Source organism: Homo sapiens, chromosome 5 (genome assembly GCF_000001405.40).
Source record: "Homo sapiens chromosome 5, GRCh38.p14 Primary Assembly".
In the NCBI taxonomy this organism is placed as follows: domain Eukaryota; kingdom Metazoa; phylum Chordata; class Mammalia; order Primates; family Hominidae; genus Homo; species Homo sapiens.
This window is the reverse complement of record NC_000005.10, coordinates 128,729,220-128,750,176: the sequence shown is the minus strand read 5'-3', so window position 1 is coordinate 128,750,176 and position 20,957 is coordinate 128,729,220. Positions and strand designations below refer to the sequence as shown.

Below are 20,957 nucleotides of genomic sequence, written 5' to 3'. Positions count from 1 at the left end.
ACTGCCACTTATGACCTGTTACCACGGGCAATTTCCTTGATGTCTCTGGGTCTCTAAACCTCCATTATAGTGAATGTAAAACTGAAATAGTCGCGCTTACCTCATAGTATTGTTGCAAGGATTAAACACAGTGTGGTTTACATAAACTTCAGGGTACAAGGCCTGGCACCTAGAGGCATTCAATAAACGGCAGCAATTATTGTGAGTCTGTTTCACTGCTGAGTTTGGCAGCATCTCAATGTTTGATATTATATCTATTTTGGCAAGGAAAACTGAAACAGAGCTGAAGACCATGATGGTGAAAGCAGTGCGCTAAGATTCTGTTCTGGTTTCGGCTGGGATTGTTTGTTCAGCCCCAACAGCTAGTGCCGAGTCCCCCTTTGGGACACTGAGAACTCACCAGCCACACAGTAACCAAAAGGAAGGCAGAAACCTGAGCAGCCAGGCGGGAGGCAGAGGCGGCCTTTGTGGAGAAAACATTTGTTCCCCTTAAAGAAATAGGATGTTTGAAAAGAAAACATGCAACTTTGGAGACACAGACTCCAGCACATACATTTCAGTGACCACTCCCTCCAGATGGGCTTGAGGAACAAGCCAGCTACACGATATATCCTTTGCCAAGAACAAAACTCACTATAGAGAATGCTGTGTTCTCACATAAAATAATTTTTGTGTTATATTAAACTAGAGTCCAATTGCCATTTTCCAGAAAGCAGGCAACCACTTTAATTCCCTAAGTTTATGATGCAAGTAAAACTCACAATATCCACCATCAGTTTGTGGTTCTGAGTGTTGTTTATTATGCTTAGAAAGAATGCCCTGGAGTTTTCTCAAGCTTTGGAAAGGCAGAAGAAAATGAGTTAAATTAAACTGGTCTAGACCCGAATTGGGCAAACTCTTGGCAAAGAAACGATCTACATCCAGACTTAACTTGAGAAGCCTTACTCCGTAGGGAGCCTGGAATAACAGTCCCAAAGAGGAGACAAACGACAATGTGAGAAAAGCCAAATCTAAAAAGCACAGTTAATGAGACCACGAAAGACTTCCTGGGTCATCTTGTCAACCCTCCTGCAAAGCTTCCCCTCTGTGAAGTAACTTTTCTCCAACAACCACTCAAGGTGTTCTGATGACCATCTTTTTGTCCCCCATGGCTTGCCTCATTGATATTAGTGACATTTAATCAAACGAATCAGCTTCCTATGTAAAATATAATTTATTATTTGAAGCTGGTATTAATGGCTTGTCTTAAAAGTATTGGGAGATAATACTTTGTTTTTTTGTGTGTGTTAACCTTACTCATATATATTTTGTCTTTTGTTCAAACTCTCAAGAAGATTCTTTACCTTGCATTATTATTTAAACTTTTCATCAATAATACAAAATTTTAGAGATCTAAGAATTTAGGAAATATTTAATGCTCTTAAAATATAAATCTATACAGTAGTCCCTCCTTATTCACAGAGGATACCTTCCAAGACCCCTGGTGGATGCCTGAAACGCAAATGGTACCAAACTCGATTGCTGTCAATCAGATCATATTCCTGTTCATATCTTCCACCCACGAATTCAATGCTTTTTCCATCTTAACTAGACACTGAACACATGCTGAGCTGTAATTTTTGCAGTCTGAGATGTGATGGCAAAACTCACATTAATTTCTTTTTTTCTTCACAATTTCACAAATAGAAGATTATTTCTTACCGCGTATCTTAGCAGCCTCAACATACAATTCTTTTCTTCCTTATTAAGTTGAGAACTTTCACTTTTTCACTTAAAGAAGACACTTTAAGGCTTTTCTTTGGCATATCCAAATTGCCAGTATCACTATTTTCATGTTTTCAGGCCATTATTTAGTCAAATAAGGGTTCCTTGAACACAAGCATAAGACACCGCCACAGTCCACCTCATAACCAAGATGGCTACAAAGCTGCTGCCCAGAGGGGAGCGTGTACAGCACAGAGATGCCGCACACAGCAAGGATTCACATCTCAGGGGCGGAACCAGGTGGCTCAAGATTTCATCACACCACTCAGAACGGCATGCAATTGAATTATTTATTTATGAATTATTTATTTCTGGAATTTTCAATTTAATACTTCAGGCCGCAGTTGACTGCAGGTAACTGAAACTGCAGATAAAGGGGGACAACTATCTGTGCATATACGTGTACATGTTGTTAATTTTTTGTATTTTTTGAAGGTCACAAGATATATAACTTTTCCTTTGGTTATTTTCATACTTACAGGAGATTAAGAGTTTTATAGACCTCTGGTGTTCAAATCAGTTTTGCCCTTTTTTGTGGGTATTTCCTTTAGCTATACTGTGGACAGCTATGTCCCACTACATACCTGAAAGAAATTCCACAGCACTGATTCCCAATGCAATATCCTAGAATAGAGCAACAAGAAGACCCATAAAAATGATTTGCTTATACTATTTATAAATTAAATCTGCTTGGTAATAAATTGGCTAGGTGCAAGTCAGACATCTGCACATGTTCCTTTCAGAGAGCAGTTATGATCGTAAAGCATGAACAGCTCTCGAGCTGTCTGCCTTCTCCAAAACCTCTTACTTTTCTTCATGAGCTATTCTTGCCCAGTTTGTTCTCATTATAAAGGTAGTTCCCATTTGAGAGACAGTATTGCATCACGGTTAAACACGTAGACTCTAGAGCTGTTCTGAGTTCAAATTCCTGGTCTGCACCTTACTAGCTGTGTGTCCCTGAAACCGCCTTTGCAAAGATTATAACTGAGGAAATTATGACAGTGAAAGATATCAGAACTAACCGACTCCATCTTGCTTCTAACTTTTAAGCTGTCCTTGTTCCTTCCTGGGTGCAGGCTGAACTAACCTGGGGAAGGAATGTAGTTTATGGTTTGACTCTGAAACAAAACTGATAATAGCCCTTTCCCAAAAAGACCCCCTTCTTGCCTTGGGACCAGTCTGCCTTCACAGGACTAACAAATTAGCTACAAGAATAGAAATTATGGTTTACGGGTCATGTAGCCTCTGGCTGCAAAAGTCTGAACCTTCCCAAATTGCTCCTGGGGGTAACATCACTATTGTAAAACCCGAGATCAGTGCTTGAGATATTTTGCAGACCCCGCACTCAATGCACCAGCTGACACCACCCAGACCAGTAATCTGACTCAACCAGTTCTGCCATCCCACCAGGAACAGAAGACACCAAGAAAACCTCACTGCGACCCCCTATAATTCCATCTCCAACCTCACCAATCAGCACTCCCTACTTTCCAAGCCCCTATCCGCCAAAAAATTGAAGAGAATTTTTTAAATCTTAATATTATTTCTCTATTCTTTTTCCAATTTGTATTATAATTTTATATGTGTCATTTCTTTCCATCTTGAATGGATTAACTATTATCTATCATATGTTCATATGTATTCTATTTTATTTCTGTTAATTTCTAATATTAAGTATTTTGGATTTTTGTCAAACTTCTGAAGTGTAATGTTTAGTAATATGTTTGCAAGACTTTTCTTCACCATTAATGTAATTGTTTCACTCTATGGATTTTTCTTTTCTTTAAATTCTCTTTAAAAACTCTGATCCCAGAATGCTCAGGGAGACTGATTTAAGTAATAATAAAACTCCAGTCTCCCAAACAGCCAGCTCTGCGTGAATTACTCTCTCTCCATTACAATTCCCGTGTCTTGATAAATTGGTTCTGTCTAGGCAACGGGCAAGGTGAAACTGTTGGGAGGTTACATCCCTAGGCAAGTCTTTAGCCTTTCTATGGCACAATTACCTCATTTGTAAGGAGAGGGCAGTAGTTGTAACTACCTCATATTTATGAAATCCCTCAAAAATTTTGTGTTCCATAGTTAGTGTTCACTGACTATTAGGTAGGATTTATTCTCCCTTCATCGTCTGTTACCAACCTTTCCATGAAATCCTTATTCTACAAGTTTCTAAGAATGGACCTATCAATAATCTATATTAATATTAATCAATATTATGATCCAGAAATACTATCTTCCTATAGACCAACACTTAAAGACCCACTGCCCCAGTGTTCAGTGATGATTTGGAAACCAGCACTATCACTACCAGGTGACGGTGCCATCATTGCCCTAGTATAATAACCATAGAGAGATCATCACAGAACAATATCTGTCTTTGTAAAACCTCAGTGTTTATTTGGTGAGGTCACTGAGGTAAGTCTAGGTAAAAACATGACATCAAAATTTCCTGTGTAATCTACATTTTTATAATGCTCAATTTACACACACACACACACACACACATTACTCCGAGACTATAAATATTTCAACAACTGTTTCACAAAAGTTCACATTCGCATAGGGTTTTATATAGGAACAACAGCTTTAATTTTTTTAGCATAGTCTTTTTGGTTCTTGGTGATTTCCCAAAGTTTGAAATCGTATAAAAACCAGTCTCTGTGTATGTGTTGTTCATTCTGTATTACCTGATTTTTTCAGTCACTTTCTTTATCATTACTTGGTCATCTTGGTCACATTTACCTTCTTTCCTAAACAATCATAGCATAGAACCACAGTTTTACATTCTTTTTGCAGGTTTAATTAAAATGTATTTCTTAAAGGAATGCTTTATTCCTTCGAAAGTGTTGATTTAGTTCATTTATTTTTTAAAACTAAAATTGAATTTTTATTTTTAGGACATCAATACTTTATTCCTCAGACTCAGTGGGTATAAGAGTTCCTGAGGGGCCGGGCGCGGTGGCTCACGCCTGTAATCCCAGCACTTTGGGAGGCCGAGGCGGGCGGATCACGAGGTCAGGAAATCGAGACCATCCTGGCTAACACGGTGAAACCCCGTCTCTACTAAAAATACAAAAAATTAGCCGGGCGTGGTAGCGGGCGCCTGTAGTCCCAGCTACTCGGGAGGCTGAGGCAGGAGAATGGCGTGAACCCGGGAGGCGGAGCTTGCAGTGAGCCGAGATCGCGCCACTGCACTTCAGCCTGGGCGACAGAGCGAGACTCCATCTCAAAAAAAAAAAAAAAAAAAAAAGAGTTCCTGAGGATATTTTATTTTAGCATTCTTTAACATTTATGTTTAATTAAATGAATAATACATGAAAATATGTTTTGAAAGTCTTTACCTTATACTTCTAAATGACTTTTTTATTATTCCAAAGTATGAATAAATCATGTGTTTAATTATTTCCTCATTGATGAACATTTTGTTCTTTCAATTTTTAAAATCTGTGAGCAACAAGGCTTCAACAACCATTTGTATACATATCTTTTTTCAAATATGAAAGTTTCTTTGTAAGATAGATCTAAGAAGTAATGTTTCTGGCTTAAGGGGTATATGCATTTTCAAACTGTAGTGAGAAATGTCTAAGATGGACCTGATTACATAAATAGTAAAATTTTCTAACTGGAAAAATACCATAAGGTATTATAAAGAAAGTAAGCTTCTTTTCCAATTTAATAAGAGTTTTATCAGAAATGGGTGTTGGATTTTATTAGTTTTTTCACTCACCACCTGAGAAAATGATCATTTCTTCTTCTTTACCATGATTATGATGTTATATTAACAATATCTTATTTGTTGGTGATAGATTATTATTGGATGTTATTTTTCAATTTTTTATTTAGGATGTTTTCACAAATATTCATAAAAGATCTGATCTTTGATTTTCTGTATTTGTATCCTTTTGTTCAGGTTTTAGTATCATGGCTATGCCAACTTCCATTGTGAAAAGAATTCAGAGCTCTCTGTTTTAGAAAAGTTTAAACAAGGTTGGAGTGTACATTCATAGCGCCTCCATCCATTAAACAATTTTATTCTGATGCCTTCAGGGAAGGGATTGTACTCCACACACATTCTGCTTTTCTTCCTAGGTAATTTTCATTATTAAATATTTCTGCCTTTTATGGGAGTTGGTCTTGGTGACTTCAGTTTCTTGGAAAATCAATCATTTCCTCCAGGTTTTCAAATATATTTGCATAGTGCTAAAGAATTTTTTAAAACTTAATATTATTTCTCTATTCTTTTTCCAATTTGTATTATAATTTTATATGTCATTTCTTTCCATCTTGAATGGATTCACTATTATCTATCATATGTTCATGTGTATTCTATTTTATTTCTGTTAATTTCTAATATTAAGTATTTTGGATTTTTGTCAAACTTCTGAAGTGTAATGTTTAGTAATGTGTTTGCAAGACTTTTCTTCACCATTAATGTAATTGTTTAACTCTATGGATTTTTCTTTTCTTTTCTTTTCTTTTTTTGTTTTGAGACAGAGTTTCGCTCTTGTCGCCCAGGCTGGAGTGCAATGGCACGATCTCGGCTCACCACAACCTCCACCTCCCGGATTCAAGTGATTCTCCTGCCTCAGCAGCCTCCCAAGAAGCTGGGATTACAGGCGCCTGCCACCACACCCAGCTAATTTTTGTATTTTTAGTAGAGGCAGGGTATCGCCATGTTGGCCAGGCTGGTCTTGAACTCCTGACCTCGGGTGATCCACCCACCTCGGCCTCCTAAAGTGCTGGGATTACAAGTGTGAGCCACTGCGTCCAGCCCAACTCTATGGATTTTTCTTTGAGCACTATATTATGCAGAGTCTTCATTTTTGCTATTTTAAATATATTTTGAAATTTTGTTCTTGATTTAATAAAACTCAAACGGTGTAAAGCAGAATTTTTACATTGACAGGTGGTGAGACTTTTGGAACTATACTACTTATTTCTGTTTTTTTTTTTTTTATTGAGAGAAGGGAATATATTTGAATGTATTCTATACAACTTTTGCTATTTTAGAATGTATTGATTATCTTTTGAAGTCTAATATGTGGTAAGTAACATTTATAAATGTTTCATGTATATTTCCATAGAAAATGTGTGCTTGTGTGTGTGTATGCGTGTGTGTGAAAAAGAGAAAGAGATCTCTTATAGTAATTATTTAGTTCCTGAGCTATCCTTAATTCCTTTTTCCTTCCAATCTACTAAGAGATTTGCATTAAAGCCTCCAGATTTCAGTTGACAATACTGTATGTTATTAATTTCTCCTCGACAGGAATCCTTCATTTCATTTTGCACTTGTCCCTGAAAATAATGTAGCTGATCCTCCTACCTTACAATATATATAAACACACACACACACACACAATATACCTCAGACTGGAATTGCCAGCTCATAAGGTTAAGTATATACTCAGCTCTGATAAGTACTACCAAACCGTTTTCAATGAAGTTTTACTAATTTATAATCCTTCCTGGAATATACGAGAATTCCAGTTGACACTCTGAATTTTCTGTCTTTTAATTTTATTCATTCTGATTAATTAATTTGCATTTCGCTGATGACTAAGAGAGTTGAGCATCTTTTCATATGTTTATTAGCAATTTGGATGTCCTTTTTCATGAAGTGCCCACTTTATGATTTGGCCCACTTTCTATTGTGTTGCCTGTCTTCTGTTTCTTTCATATTATTTGTAGAAGTTCACAATATAGGGCCGGGCGCGGTGAGTCACGCCTATAATCCCAGCACTTTGGGAGGCCGAGGCGGGCGGATCACGAGGCCAGGAGATCGAGACCATCCTGACTAACATGGTGAAACCCCGCCTCTACTAAAAATATAAAAAATTAGCCCGGCGTGGTGGCGGGTGCCTGTAGTCCCAGCTGCTCGGGAGGCTGAGGCAGGAGAATGGCGTGAACCCGCGAGGCGGAGCTTGCAGTGAGATCATGCCGCTGCACTCCAGCCTGGGCGACAGAGCGAGACTCCATCTAAAAAAAAAAAAAAAAAAAAAGTTCATAATACAGTCGGATACAATTTTTAGTCAGCTTTGTGTGTTTGTGTGTCTGTGTGTGTGTGTGTGTGTGTGTAGTATTTGCCTTTTAAAACTATGTCCGTAGATAATTTTGATAACAAAATGACCTAAAAATAAAAGGTACAAAGAGAGAAAAATAATTCAGGAATGGGCAAGCCTTGGTATGAGCACTGAATACTTTCAAAGAAAAGTTATGGGTATGGATACAGAGCAGAAAACTATATGTGATACCCCCACATAGTTTAAAGAGAAGTACTTGGAATTTCAGTTCTTTTTCTTTTAATAAAGTTACAATTTCGTTGGGTTGCATCTATTATCTTAATAATTTTTTTCTCATTTCACCCACCTGTTTTGTGTTTCTTTAGTCTCCTATCTCGTATTCCTTGGATTAATTAAACTTTTCTTTCCATTTATTTCATATGTTAACTTGTTAAGTATATATGATTTTACTATTATATTATGTTAGATATTACAACAGACATCCTTGACTTACTATAGTCTGATTTTTTTTAATTTTGCCATTTTCCTGGTATTACTAGAAATTTAGAACACCTTGACCCTGTATACCCCTTAGCATTATCGTGACAGTATTTTATTATACATATTTTAAACTCCACAATACATTAATATTACTATTATTGTTTTCTATGGTTAATAGGTATTTAATATTTATTTCTCTTATATGCCTATTTATTTTTTCAATTGTTCTTCCTTTTTGCATTTTTAAAATGTCCCTCTATGATTATTATCTTTCTGTCTGAAGAGTTCCCTATAATTTAGGTCTTCTATAAACAAGTTCTCAATTTTTTCTGAGAATATCTTTGTTTCATCTTTATAAAGTTATTTTTGCTGAGAATGTAAATAACCTCTGGAAGTTATTTTCTTCCAGTACTTTAAGAATGTCATTTTGTTGTGTTCTAGCTCACATTATTTCTGTTGCAAAGTCAGTGGTAAGTCTTACTGTTGCTCCTTCTTATTCCTTACTCCTAGACGTCATCTCCAAAAACGCCAGTTTCTCCGCAACTGATCATAGCCTCATGAACCTCCTTGCTTTGTCACTTCTTGAACCCCACTCCTAGCAAACATTTTCTGGAAAAGGTAAATCTCTGTCAAAAAGCATTGCCATGTCAGCTACTTAAGAAGGCATAATTGTTCCCATAGCATTGTACACGTTTCATCTCCTTTGAATTAATCTTTATTGTACTCTTCCTTTGCACAATTAAGGGACTCTCTTTTTCTTGAATTTGAACAGTACTTTGGAGTTGATTAATGTTTATTTTATTTAAGACAAGGTAAGTGCTTTCCTTCTAAGTATCACTGATTTTTAAATATCTAAGAACATTTTAACTACATTATTGAGTATTGATTCTATTTTTATTCTTTAATTTAAAAACTTTTTCTTTAATATATGACCTCTAATGTCTTCTCATCTGTCCTTGCTTTTTCCACATTCTGTGTTTTTCTAATGCTTAATTTCAAATTTTCATTGGCAGAATTTAATCTCTTCTGTCCATTTTTATAGCTATATTTTATATTCCTCCTTGAAATGGTCAACAATTATTATCACAAAACTTAATATATATGGTGTATTTTAGAGTATAGTTATATTATTTCCACATAATTTCTTTATACTTTACAACTTTCCTAATAGAATTATATAATTAATGTCTGTACACTTTCCCTTACTTTTCATGTTTCCTGGTAATTTACTAACCATTAGAGACCTAGCCTCATGAGAGCCAATTTTTAAAATCAGGTTATAAATTTATATAATAAAATTCACAGTTTTGACAAATGTAGACACTCATGTAACCAGCAACCCAATTGAGATATAAAATACTTATTGCTGCGAGCCTAGAAGGTTTCCTTCTGCTACTTTCCAATCAATCCTTTCCTTACCAGAAGCAACTACTATTCTGAATTATATCTCCATAGATTCATTTTTGCATGTTCTTGAACTTGATATAAATAAAATCATATTATATTTATACATTTTATTTGGCTTTTTTCACTCAAAATGCTTCTGTAATTGATATTGTATTAATAATTCATCCCTTTTTCCTGCTGAGTAGTACTCTATTGTATGAATCTATCACAGTGTATCTTTCCAGTTTCCTACTGATAGATATTTGTGTCGTTTTTGAAGTTCAAATTAGATTTTACTGCTCTTTTCTAATATTTTTTCCTTCAATGGGAAGAGAGGCAAGATATGCCAAAATGTGTACTAAACTTTGGAGTATTTTTGAATCTTGCCATTTGCTTAAGAAAGCTTTATATGTTTTTTTGTTTTCCTCTTTTGACAATTTCAGGGACGTTTATAATTTAAAAGTGATTGAGAATCTCCAGTAATTTCCCTTACTCTGTGATCTTATCTGAACAATTAGGGTCAAGTGAATTAAATACATCTTAAAGAAGCACTAAGAACTTCAGAACGTGCAATTTTTAAATGTAGAAAAAATGTTAACTAAGAATAATTGAAACAAAATTGCAGAATTAACTACATACAAGTATTATTTGGCCTGTTTCGTGGTAAAATTTGGACACAATAAAACTCACCAATTTAAATGCACAGTTTGGTGAATTTGGGTAGTAGTATACAGGCCATGTAACCACCAGCAAAATAAGATGTAAAATAGAATACCTCACACAAAAAACATTGCTTGTGCCCCTTTGCAGTCGAGCCAGTTCCCCAAACTCCAGCCCCAGGCATCTACTGATGGGCCTTCTGTCACTACAGTTCAGTTTTTTCTAGAATTTTATATAAATGGAATCATGCAGGATGCAGTACTATTATGCTTGCTATCTATCAGTTAGCATGTTTTTTGTAACTTTATTGTGGCATATTTTATATATCATAAAATTCACCCATTTTAAGTGTATTCAATGATTTTAATAAATATACTGAGTTGTGCAACCACTACCATAAATAAGTTGTTGAATACTTTCATCACCCCAGTAAGATCCTCTAGGCTCATTTACTATGCATCCCATTCATCCCACTCTCTGCCCCAAGCACCCACGAATCTTTCTATTTCTACATATTTCTGTTTTGTGGAGATATTATGTAAATCAAATCATACAATATGCGGTATCTCATATTTGGCTCCTTTTCCTTAACATAATGCTTCTAAGATTCATCCATGCTGTTAAGTATATTAATATTTTGCTCCTTGTTATCACTCACTTTTCATGCATTGTATCAAAGTGGATGGTGTTATTTAACTTGCTTATCCATTTATGTTTTGATAGACATTTGGGTTATTTCTAGTTTGAGGCTATTTCTCAATAATGTTCCTATGAACACTTTCATACAAGCCTGTGTATGAAACATGTTTTTATTTTGGGGGATTGAATACCTTGGAGTGAGACTGCTGGGCCACATGGTAAGTGCTTGTATAACTTCATAATATACTGTCCTGATGGTTTCAAAAGTAGTTGTGCAATTTTGCATTCTTCCAGCAATATGTAAAAGTTCCAATAGCCTAACATTGTTATCAACACTTAGTATTGTCAGGTTTTAACCTTTAGCCATTCCAGTGGGTGTGCAGTGGGTTCTAGCTATAGATAGAGATCTATATCAATGTAATTTCAAGCAACATCCTAGACAACTTTTTAAAAGAAATTGACGAGCTGATTATAAAATTTATATTGAAAGACAAAGGCACTGGAAAAGCCAAAACAATCTTGAAAAAGAAGGATAAAGTTGAAAGACTTACATGAAAGTCATGATTTCATGACTTACTATACAACTATTATATACAGGACAGTGTGGTGTTGGCTTAAGGATAGATCAGTGAAGCAAAATAGAGAGCCAGAAAATAGATCCATATATATGGTTGTTGATTTTCCACATTAATTTTAATATTCATTCATTCAACAAATACTTATTGGGCACCTACTATATGCCAAGCACTGTGATAGGCACTGGGGATTTGGCCATTAACAAAGCACTCAAAAGTTTCTATCCTCATGTAACTTTTATTCCAGTTGGGGGATAAAAGTAAATAAATAAAAAATATGAGAGCCGGGCACAGTGTGGTTCACCCTTGTAGTCCCAGGTATTTGGGAGGCTGAGGTGGGAGGATCACTTGAGTCTGGGAGCTCAAGCTGCAGTGCCCCATTATTGCACCATTGCACTACAGCCTGGGTGGCAGAGCAAGATCCTGACTCTAAAAAATAATAATAAATAAGAAAAAATATTAGATAATTATAAATCTTTTGGAGCAAATAAAGAAGAAAATGTGGATAGGGAGTGATAGGCATCTGTTTTAAATTTTGTGCTCAAGCCTTCTCAATAACCACAGGGAAAATCCTTCTAGGGAGAGGAAGCAGAGCTGCAGAAGCCCTCAGGTAGGCCTTGAAGGGGTGAGTGCAGTGATGGTGAGCCAGAGGCAGAGGCCTCAGCTCAGGGACATAGCCTGGGCCAGATCACACAGGATCTTACTGGGATTGTAAGGAATTTGGCTTTGACTCTGCCTGAGATAGGAAGCCACTGAAGGGTTTTGAGTGGAGAGGTGACATTATATGATTAAATCTTTCAAATAATTACTGTGGCTGATTGATGAGAATGGTGGTCCAAGATAGAAGAAGGGAAGGCCAGGGTGGACATGGGATGTGTGGCCTAATCAAAGATTAATCTGGCAGTCATGAGAGACCCCGCAGAGAGATGATAGAGTGAATATTAGAAAAAAGAAAAAAAAGATGATAACAAAAGGAACAGATAAGCAGCATCTAAAGAGAGATGAGATAAACTGTGATCACAGTATCTAAAAAACTAGAAGAGGATAAGAGAGGATTGATCATCAGAACACAGATGTGAGATGCATAGTATCAATTGCTTCAGAGAGGACAAGAGGTCTCAGGCTGAGAAAAGATCTGTGAAGTTTATGCATAAGGAGTTATTTGGTGAATTTTCATAGCACATAGCACTGGGACTGTAGTGACTTCAGAACACATGGAGGCACAGCACAGACCACCTGTTTAAGAAATTTTCCAGTGGAAAGAAGGACAATAGTATAAGTTAGAGGACAATGGGAGGAAATGAAGGTTGGTTTCAGGATAAGCTTGACCACAAATATCTATGGGCTGCAAAGAAAGACCTGATGGGCTGGGAGTAACTGAGGACGGCAAAGAGAAGGCAAAAGTTTGAGAAAATGGTGGGATCAGGAGGAGTGTAGAGGAGTTGCTAGAGATCAATTCCTAGAGTCTCCAATTCTGGAAGTTGCCTTGAAGGTGCTGTTTCTTTTTATATATTTGCAACGTTTGTTTTGCCCTCCTGAAATACTGCATTCACAAAAGCACCAATTCTGTCCAAACTTCCCCCAGGTCACATTAAGTCACTTCAATTAGGTTTCCCCATCTTCCTTACTCTTAACTTCAAGCTCTTGTTCTCTTTGGGAATCTAAATATGACCCCCCAATTTCAGGAAGATATGAGTCAGCCTTGTAGAAAGCATCTATTAGATGTTGCCTGGCTGAGATTCTCTCTGTGCCTCTGTGCCAGGCACTGTAACTTGGTGCAGTGAGCAGTCTGAGCCTGGCTTTGTTGGAATGACTTGGCGGTGATCCACTGGAGGTGCTGTTTTGCTCCCTGACACACAACATCTGGGCCTTGCCATACAGAACAGCCTGGTTTCTAAGTAGGAGGTAGGCAGGATCAACTCAGCAAGACTTGGGAATTTCACCCCCTACATACACATCCTTCTTTAATTTTTCCTTAAAAGGCTCACACCCAGTTTCATTTTCACACACAAAGAGGTCCTTTGTATTTCATTATGACCAAGTCACAAAAGTAAATGTTTTCCTTTAAAAAGAAAGTGGGTGTGGATGATGGTTGCTTGTGTGGAATGTGAATAAAGACTATCCCCTCAGCAAGCTGAACTCCAAAGAAAAATAGAATTATATTGAGCTTCCAGTCTGGCAACAATGCTTTTATTTTAATTATTTGTTTGCTATTTTCTTTTTTTCTACTCTTTAAGGAATTTTGAAAAAGAATTAAATTTAACCATATTGAGTTAAAAGAACTCTTAAGTCTCTGAACTGAGTTACAATGCTGAATAGAAGCAAATTGTCCTCCATTCTCCTTTATTTCAAAAGTGGACACTCAACTGAAATTTTAAAATATGGTTTAATGTCAGTATAATATGTGGAGTATATTCTTATTTTCTACATGGGAACTAGAAGCAAGTGACCTAATTAGGTACAGCTCAGTGGGATTAAGCAGATTGGCTCATACAGCTAAAATATACTCTGGTTTTCTTTCCATCACTGCTCCTTTCTGGCTGACCACATGAAGCGTTAGGACTCTACCTTTGCAAATTTTGAAGTAGACAAATATGTGGTGTGAACTAACTCAGCATGTACTTTTTACATTCTTCAACATAGCCAAGGATGTTTTCACGTGCGACCATGTGAAGAGACCACCAAACAGGCTTTGTGTGAGCAATAAAGCTTTTTAATCACCTGGGTGCAGGCGGGCTGAGTCCAAAAAGTGAGTCAACAAAGGGAGATGGGGTGGGGCCATTTTATAGGATTTGGGTGGGTGGTGGAAAATTACAGTCAAACAGGGTTTTTCTCTTAGTGGCAGGGGCGGGGGTCACAAGATGCTCAATGGGGGAGGTTCTGAGCCAGGAGAAGGAATTTCACAAGGTAATGGCTCAGTTAAGGTGGGGCAGGAACAAATCACAATGGTGGATTGTCATCAGTTAAGGCAGGAACCAGCCATTTTCACTTCTTTTGTGATTCTTCACTTGCTTCAGGCCATCTGGATGTGTACGTGCAGGTCACAGGGGATATGATGGCTTAGCTTGGACTCAGAGGCCTGACATTCCTGTCTTCTTATATTAATAAGAAAAATAACATAAAATACCATTGAAGTGTTGGGGCAGTGAAAATTTTGGGGGGTGGTATGGAGAGATAATGGGCGATGTTTCTCAGGGCTGCTTCGAGTGGGATTAGGGGCAGCATGGGAACCTAGAGTGGGAGAGATTAAACTAAAGAAAGATTTTGGGGTAAGGGGTGATATTGTGGGGTTATTAGAAGGATCATTTGTTGTACAGAATGATTGGTGATGGCCTGGATGTGGTTTTTTATGAATTGAGAAACTAAACGGAAGACACAAGGTCCAAATAAGAGAAGGAGAAAAACAGGTATTGAAGGACTAAGAATTGGGAGGATCTAGGACATCCAATTAGAGAGTGCCCAAGGGGGTTCAGCATAATTATTTGCTTGGTTGGTGAGTTTTTGGGCTCTATCCTTGAGTTCTTTTATGTTGTCATATAGCAGAAAAACAACACTCTTCATTTAAAAATATACAGTGTTTTTTTGTTTTTTTGTTTTGTTTTGTTTTGTTTTGTTTTGTTTGCAGTGAGTAAGTTGAGGCCTCGGCGATTTTGGAGAAAAGAGAAATGCAAAGCCAAATTGTTTATTAAAGAAGTATTAGAAATGGCTAGGAGAGAGTGAGAGAGATTGATAGTGTGGTGGAGATAGCTGGGGAGAGGTAGAGGATGGCATAAGAACAGGAACAAGAATAAGAGTGAGTATAAAAGTTAAGAATAGGACTTCACCAGCGTGAAAGTATTGGAGTGTACCCTGTCAGCAAAGATTATCTGTCCACTTTAAGAGAGACTTAAGGGTGGCGGTTTTAGGTAAAACCAGGAGATATCAGTTATGATGGTTTGAAGGAAAGTGTAAACCAGCAGTGTAAACAAGGGCAGGGTATTTATGAGTAGTTTTGAATGGTGAATAGGAGTATGACTGGACAGAAGATAGTAGGGATGACAAGTTTTTGGGGTGCAGTTCAAGTTGGGCTGGTGTCTGGAATGAGAGTGGGGCCTAATAAAAAGGAGTGTCCATACATGAGCTCAAATGGGCTGTACCCTGTAGCAATCCGAGGACAGGCCCGAATTCTGAGAAGGGCAAGTGGTAAAAGTACTGTCCAGTCCTTTTTAAGTTGGAGGCTGAGCTTGGTGAGGTGTACCTTTAAAAGACCATTAGTCTGTTTTACTTTTCCTGAAGATTGAGGACGGTAAGGGGTATGAAGGTTCCACTGAATACCAAGAGCCTGAGAAATTGCTTGTGTGATTTGACTAGTAAAGGCCAGTCTATTATTGGACTGTATAGAGGTGGGAAGGCCAAACCAAGGAATTATGTCTGACAGAACGGAAGAAATGATCGTGGTGGCCTTCTCAGACCCTGTGGGAAAGGCCTCTAACCATCCAGTGAAAGTGTCTACCCAGACCAAGAGATATTTTAGTTTCCGGACTTGGGGCATGTGAGTAAAGTCAATTTGTCAGTCCTTGGCAGAGGCAAATCCCTGAGCTTGATGTGTAGGGAAGCGAGAGGGCCTGAACAATCCCTGGAGAAGTAGTAGAATAGCAGATGGAACACCGAGAAGTGATTTCCTTAAGAATAGATTTCCATGATGGAAAGGAAATGAGAGGTGCTAAGAGACGGGCTAGCGGCTTGTAACCTACATGGAAGAGGTTACGAAATATCGACAGAACAGAATGGGCCTGTGAGGCTGGAAGGAGATATTTTCATTGGTCCAAGAACCATTTGCCTTGTGTGGGAAGAGATTGATAGGTGGAAGTTTCAGTGGGAAAGTAGGTGGGAGTGACCAATGAGAAGGAGAAAAACTGGCTGTGAGGGACAGAAGTTGGAACGCTAGCTGCTTTTTAGCTACCTTACCAGCATAAGCATTGCCCTGAGTGATGGGATCTGATGCCTTTTGATGGCCTTTACAGTGAATGACTCCAGCTTCCTTTGGAAGTGGCCTTGAGAAGAGTTTTCATTAAAGAGGCTTTAATGATGGAGGACACTTGTGTAATGAGGAAACCTCTTTTTGCCCATATTAACAGCATACTGGTGCAGGATATAGAAGGCATATTTAGAGTCAGTATAAATATTGACATGTAGTCTCTTTGCAAGAGTGAAGGCCCGAGTTAAGGCAATGAGTTCAGCTTGCTGAGAGGTAGTGGAGGAGGGGGCAGAGCAGTAGCCTCAGTGATACATGTGGAAGGTACTATAGCATAGCCTGTCTTTGCTGGTGAGTGGCAATTAGGCCTGGTGGAACTGCCATCAATAAACCAAGTGTGATTAGGGTGAGGAACAGGAAAGAAGGAAATATGGGGAAATGGAGTGAATGTCAGGTGGATCAGAGACATATAGTCATGGGGGTCAGGTATGGTATCCGGAATAATGTGGGAGACCAGATTGAAGTCCGGGCCAGGAACAATGGTAATTGTGGTAGACTCAACAAAGAGTGAGTATAGCTGAAGGAGCCGGGGAGCAGAAAGTATATGCGTCAGGTGTGAGGAAGAAAATAGATTTTGGAAGTTATGAGAACTGTACAGAGTGAGTTGAGCATAGTTTGTGATTTTGAGGGCCTCTAAAAGTATTAAAGCACCGGCAGCTGCCACACACAGACATGAGGGCTAGGCTAAAAGTGTAAGGTCAAGTTGTTTGGACAGAAAGGCCACAGGGCTGGTAAGAATTCCGACCAGACAGCCCTGCACTTTGGCTGTGTGTAATGAAAAAGGTTGGGATGAGTTAGGGAGAGCTAGTGTGGGAGCAGCTTTTAGGACTGTTTTTTAAGGAATGGAAAGGGGAATGGCGAAAGGATTTACGGGGTCAGCTAGGTTTATCTAGAACAGAATAATGGGCTGTGGAGGGAGGTATTGAGGATAGGACAGTATATGGGTTTGGCACCATGGGGTGGATAGGCAAAACAATTTGGTTGATAAGGCGCAGATCCTGAACTAACCTGTAAGGCTTGTCTGGTTTTAGGACAGGTGAAATGGGGGAATTGTAAGGAGGGTTTATAGGCTTTAAAAGGCCATGCTGTAACAGGCGAGTGATAACAGGCTTTAATTCTTTTAAAGCGTGCTATAGGGTGGGATATTGGCGATGTCGAGCGTGGTAAGGGTGATTAGGTTTTAATGGGATGGTAAGGGGTGCACGATTGGTTGCCAAGGAGGGAGTAGAGGTGTCCTATACTTGTGGATTAAGGTGGGGAGATACAAGGGGAGGATGTGAAGGAGGCTTTGAACTGGGGAAAAGGGCAGCAATGAGGTGTGGCTGTAGCCTAGGAATAGTCAGGGAAGCAGATAATTTAGTTAAAATGTCTCAGCCTAATAAGGGAACTGGGCAGGTGGGGATAACTAAAAAGGAGTGCATAAAAGAATACTGTCCAAGTTGGCACCAGAGTTGGGGAGTTTTAAGAGGTTTAGAAGCCTGGCCATCAATACACACAACAGTTATGGAGGCAAGGGAAACAGCCCCTGGAAAAGAAGGTAATTTGGAGTGGGTAGGTTCCATATTGATTAAGAAGGGGATGGACTTATCCTCCACTGTTAAGAGTTACCCAAAGCGTCTGTGATGGTCCAGGAGGATTCCGAAGCAATCAGGCAGAGTCAGTCTTCAGCCGCTAAGCCGAGAAGATCTGGGAAGGAGTCAGAGCCTTGGGCCAGTTGGACAGTCCAATTTCCAGTGGGATCCCACACAGATGGGACATGGCTTAGGAGGAATCCTGGGCTGCAGGCATCCCTTGGCCCAGTGGCCAGATTTCTGGCACTTGAAGCAAGATCCTGGGGGAGGAAGTCCTGAAGGAACACCTGACCGCTGTGGTTTAGGCATTTTGAAGTTCTTTTGTGCTGGAGATGTGGCTGGGGTTTCTCTCACAGCAGAGACAAGTAATTGCAACTCTTCTCTATTATTGCACATCTTGAAGTCGAGGTTAATTAAGTCCTGTTGTGGGGTTTGAGGGCCAGAATTTAATTTTTGGACCTTTATTTAATGTTGAGAGCAGATTGGGTAATAAAATGCATATTGAGAATAAGACGGCCTTCTGACCCTTCAGGGTCTAGGGCTGTAAAGTGTCTAAGGGTTGTTGCCAAACGGGCCATGAACTGGGCTGGATTTTCATATTTGATGAAAAAGAGCCTAAACGCTAACTGATTTGGGAGAGTTCGGATAAAGAAAAAGGAGTATTAACCTTGACTATGCCTTTAGCTCCAGCCACTTCTTTAAGAGGAAATTGTTGGGCAGGTGTCCTCACTCAAGTTCAAGTACATTAGAAACATTCTTATCCTGAGGCACAGGTTTTTAAAAATAGTTGCATAAAATTGTTGATATCGAAAAGTGTCTGTTTATATCCTTTGCCCACTTTTTGATGGTGTTGTTTGTTTTTTTTCTGGTAAATTTGCTTAAGTACCTTGTAAATTCTGGATAATAGACCTTTGTCAGATGGGTAGATTGCAAAAATTTTCTCCCATTCTGTAGGTTGCCTTTTCATTCTGATGATAGTTTCTTTTGCTGTGCAGAAGCTCTTTAATTAGATCCAATTTGTCAATTTTAGCTTTTGTTGCAATTGCTTTTGGCAATTTCTTCATAAAATCTTTGCCCATGCCTGTATCCTGAATGGTATTGCCTAGGTTTTTTTCTACGGTTTTTATGATTTGGGGTTTTATATTTAAGTCTTTAAGTCCATCTTGAGTTAATTTTTGTATGAGGTGTAAAGAAGGCATCCAGTTTAAGTTTTCTGCCTATGTCCAATTTTCCCAGCACCATTTATTAAAAATAGGGAGTCCTTTCCATATTGCTTGTTTTTGTCAGGTTTGTCAAAGATCAGATGGTTGCAGATGTGTGGCATTATTTCTGAGGCCTCTGTTCTGTTCCATTGGTCTATATATCTGTTTTGGTACCAGTACCATGCTGTTTTGGTTACTGTAGCCTTATAGTATAGTTTGAAGTCAGGTAGCATGATGCCTCCAGCTTTGTTCTTTTTGCTTAGAATTGTCTTGGCTATACAGCCTCTTTTTTGGTTCCATATGAATTTCAAAGTAGTTTTTTCTAATTCTGTGAAGAATGTCAATGGTAGTTTGATGGGAATAGCATTGAATCTATAAATTAATTTGGGCAGTATGGCCATTTCCATGATATTGATTCTTCCTATCCATGAGCATGGAATGTTTTTCATTTCTTTGTGTCCTCTCTTATTTCTTTGAGCAGTGGTTTATAGTTCTTTTTGAAGAGGTCCTTCACACCCCTTGTTAGCTGTATTCCTAGGTATTTTATTCTCTTTGTAACAATTGTGAATGGGAGGTCACTCATGATTTGGCTCTCTGCTTGCCTATTGTTGGTGTATAGGAATGCTTGTGATTTTTGGACGTTGATTTTGCCGAAGTTGCATGATGTCATCTGCAAACAGACAATTTGACTTCCTCTCTTCCTATTTGAGTACTCTTTATTTCTGTCTCTTGCCTGATTGCCCTGGCCAGCACTTCCAATACTATATTGAATAGAAGGGGTAAGAGAGGGCATCCTTGTCTTATGCTGCTTTTCAAAGGGAATGCTTCCAGCTTTTGCCCATTTTGTATGATATTGGCTGTGGTTTTGTCATAAATAGCTCTTATTATTTTAATATTGTGGGTTTGTCATAAATAGCTCTTATTATTTTGATTATTTCAATACCTAGTTTATTGAGAGTTCTTAACATGAAGAAATGTTGAATTTTACTGGAGGCCTTTTCTGTATCTATTGAGATGATTGTGTGGTTTTTGTCATTGGTCCTGTTTATGTGATGGATTATGTTTATTGATTTGTGTATGTTGAACCAGCCTTGCATCCCAGGGATGAACCCGAATTGATTGTGATGGATGTGCTTTTTAATGTGCTGCTAGATTTGGTTTGCCAGGATTTTATTGAGGATTTTCACATTGATGTTCATCAGGAATATTGTCCTGAAGTTTTCTTTTTTTGTTGTGTGTCTGCCAGGTTTTGGTATCAGGATGATACTGGCCTCATAAAATGAATTAGGGAGGAATCCCCCCTTTTCAGTTGTTTGGAATAGTTTCAGAAGAAATGGTACCAGCTCCCCTTTGTACCTCTGGTAGAAGTCGGCTGTGACTCCGTCTGGTCATGGGCTTTTTTTTGGTTCGTAGGCTATTTATTACTGCCTCAATTTCAGAACTCGTTATTGTTCTACTCAGAGATTTGAATGGCAATTATTAAAAACTCAAAAAACAACAGATACTGGCAAGACTGTGGAGAAATAGAAACACTTTTACACTGTTGGTGGGAATGTGAATTGGTTCAACCATTGTGGAAGACAGTGTGGCAATTCTGCAAGGATCTAGAACCAGAAATGCCATTTAATCCAGCAATCCCATTACTG

At 38.3% G+C, this 20,957-nt stretch overlaps 1 long non-coding RNA gene across 1 annotated transcript in view; it reads right to left on the bottom strand.

The window, feature by feature from the left end:
• The window catches only part of LOC105379168 (uncharacterized), a 273,909-nt gene that overhangs the window by 185,589 nt on the left and 67,363 nt on the right, over positions 1-20,957 (bottom strand). The gene's annotated exons all lie outside the window — the stretch shown is intronic.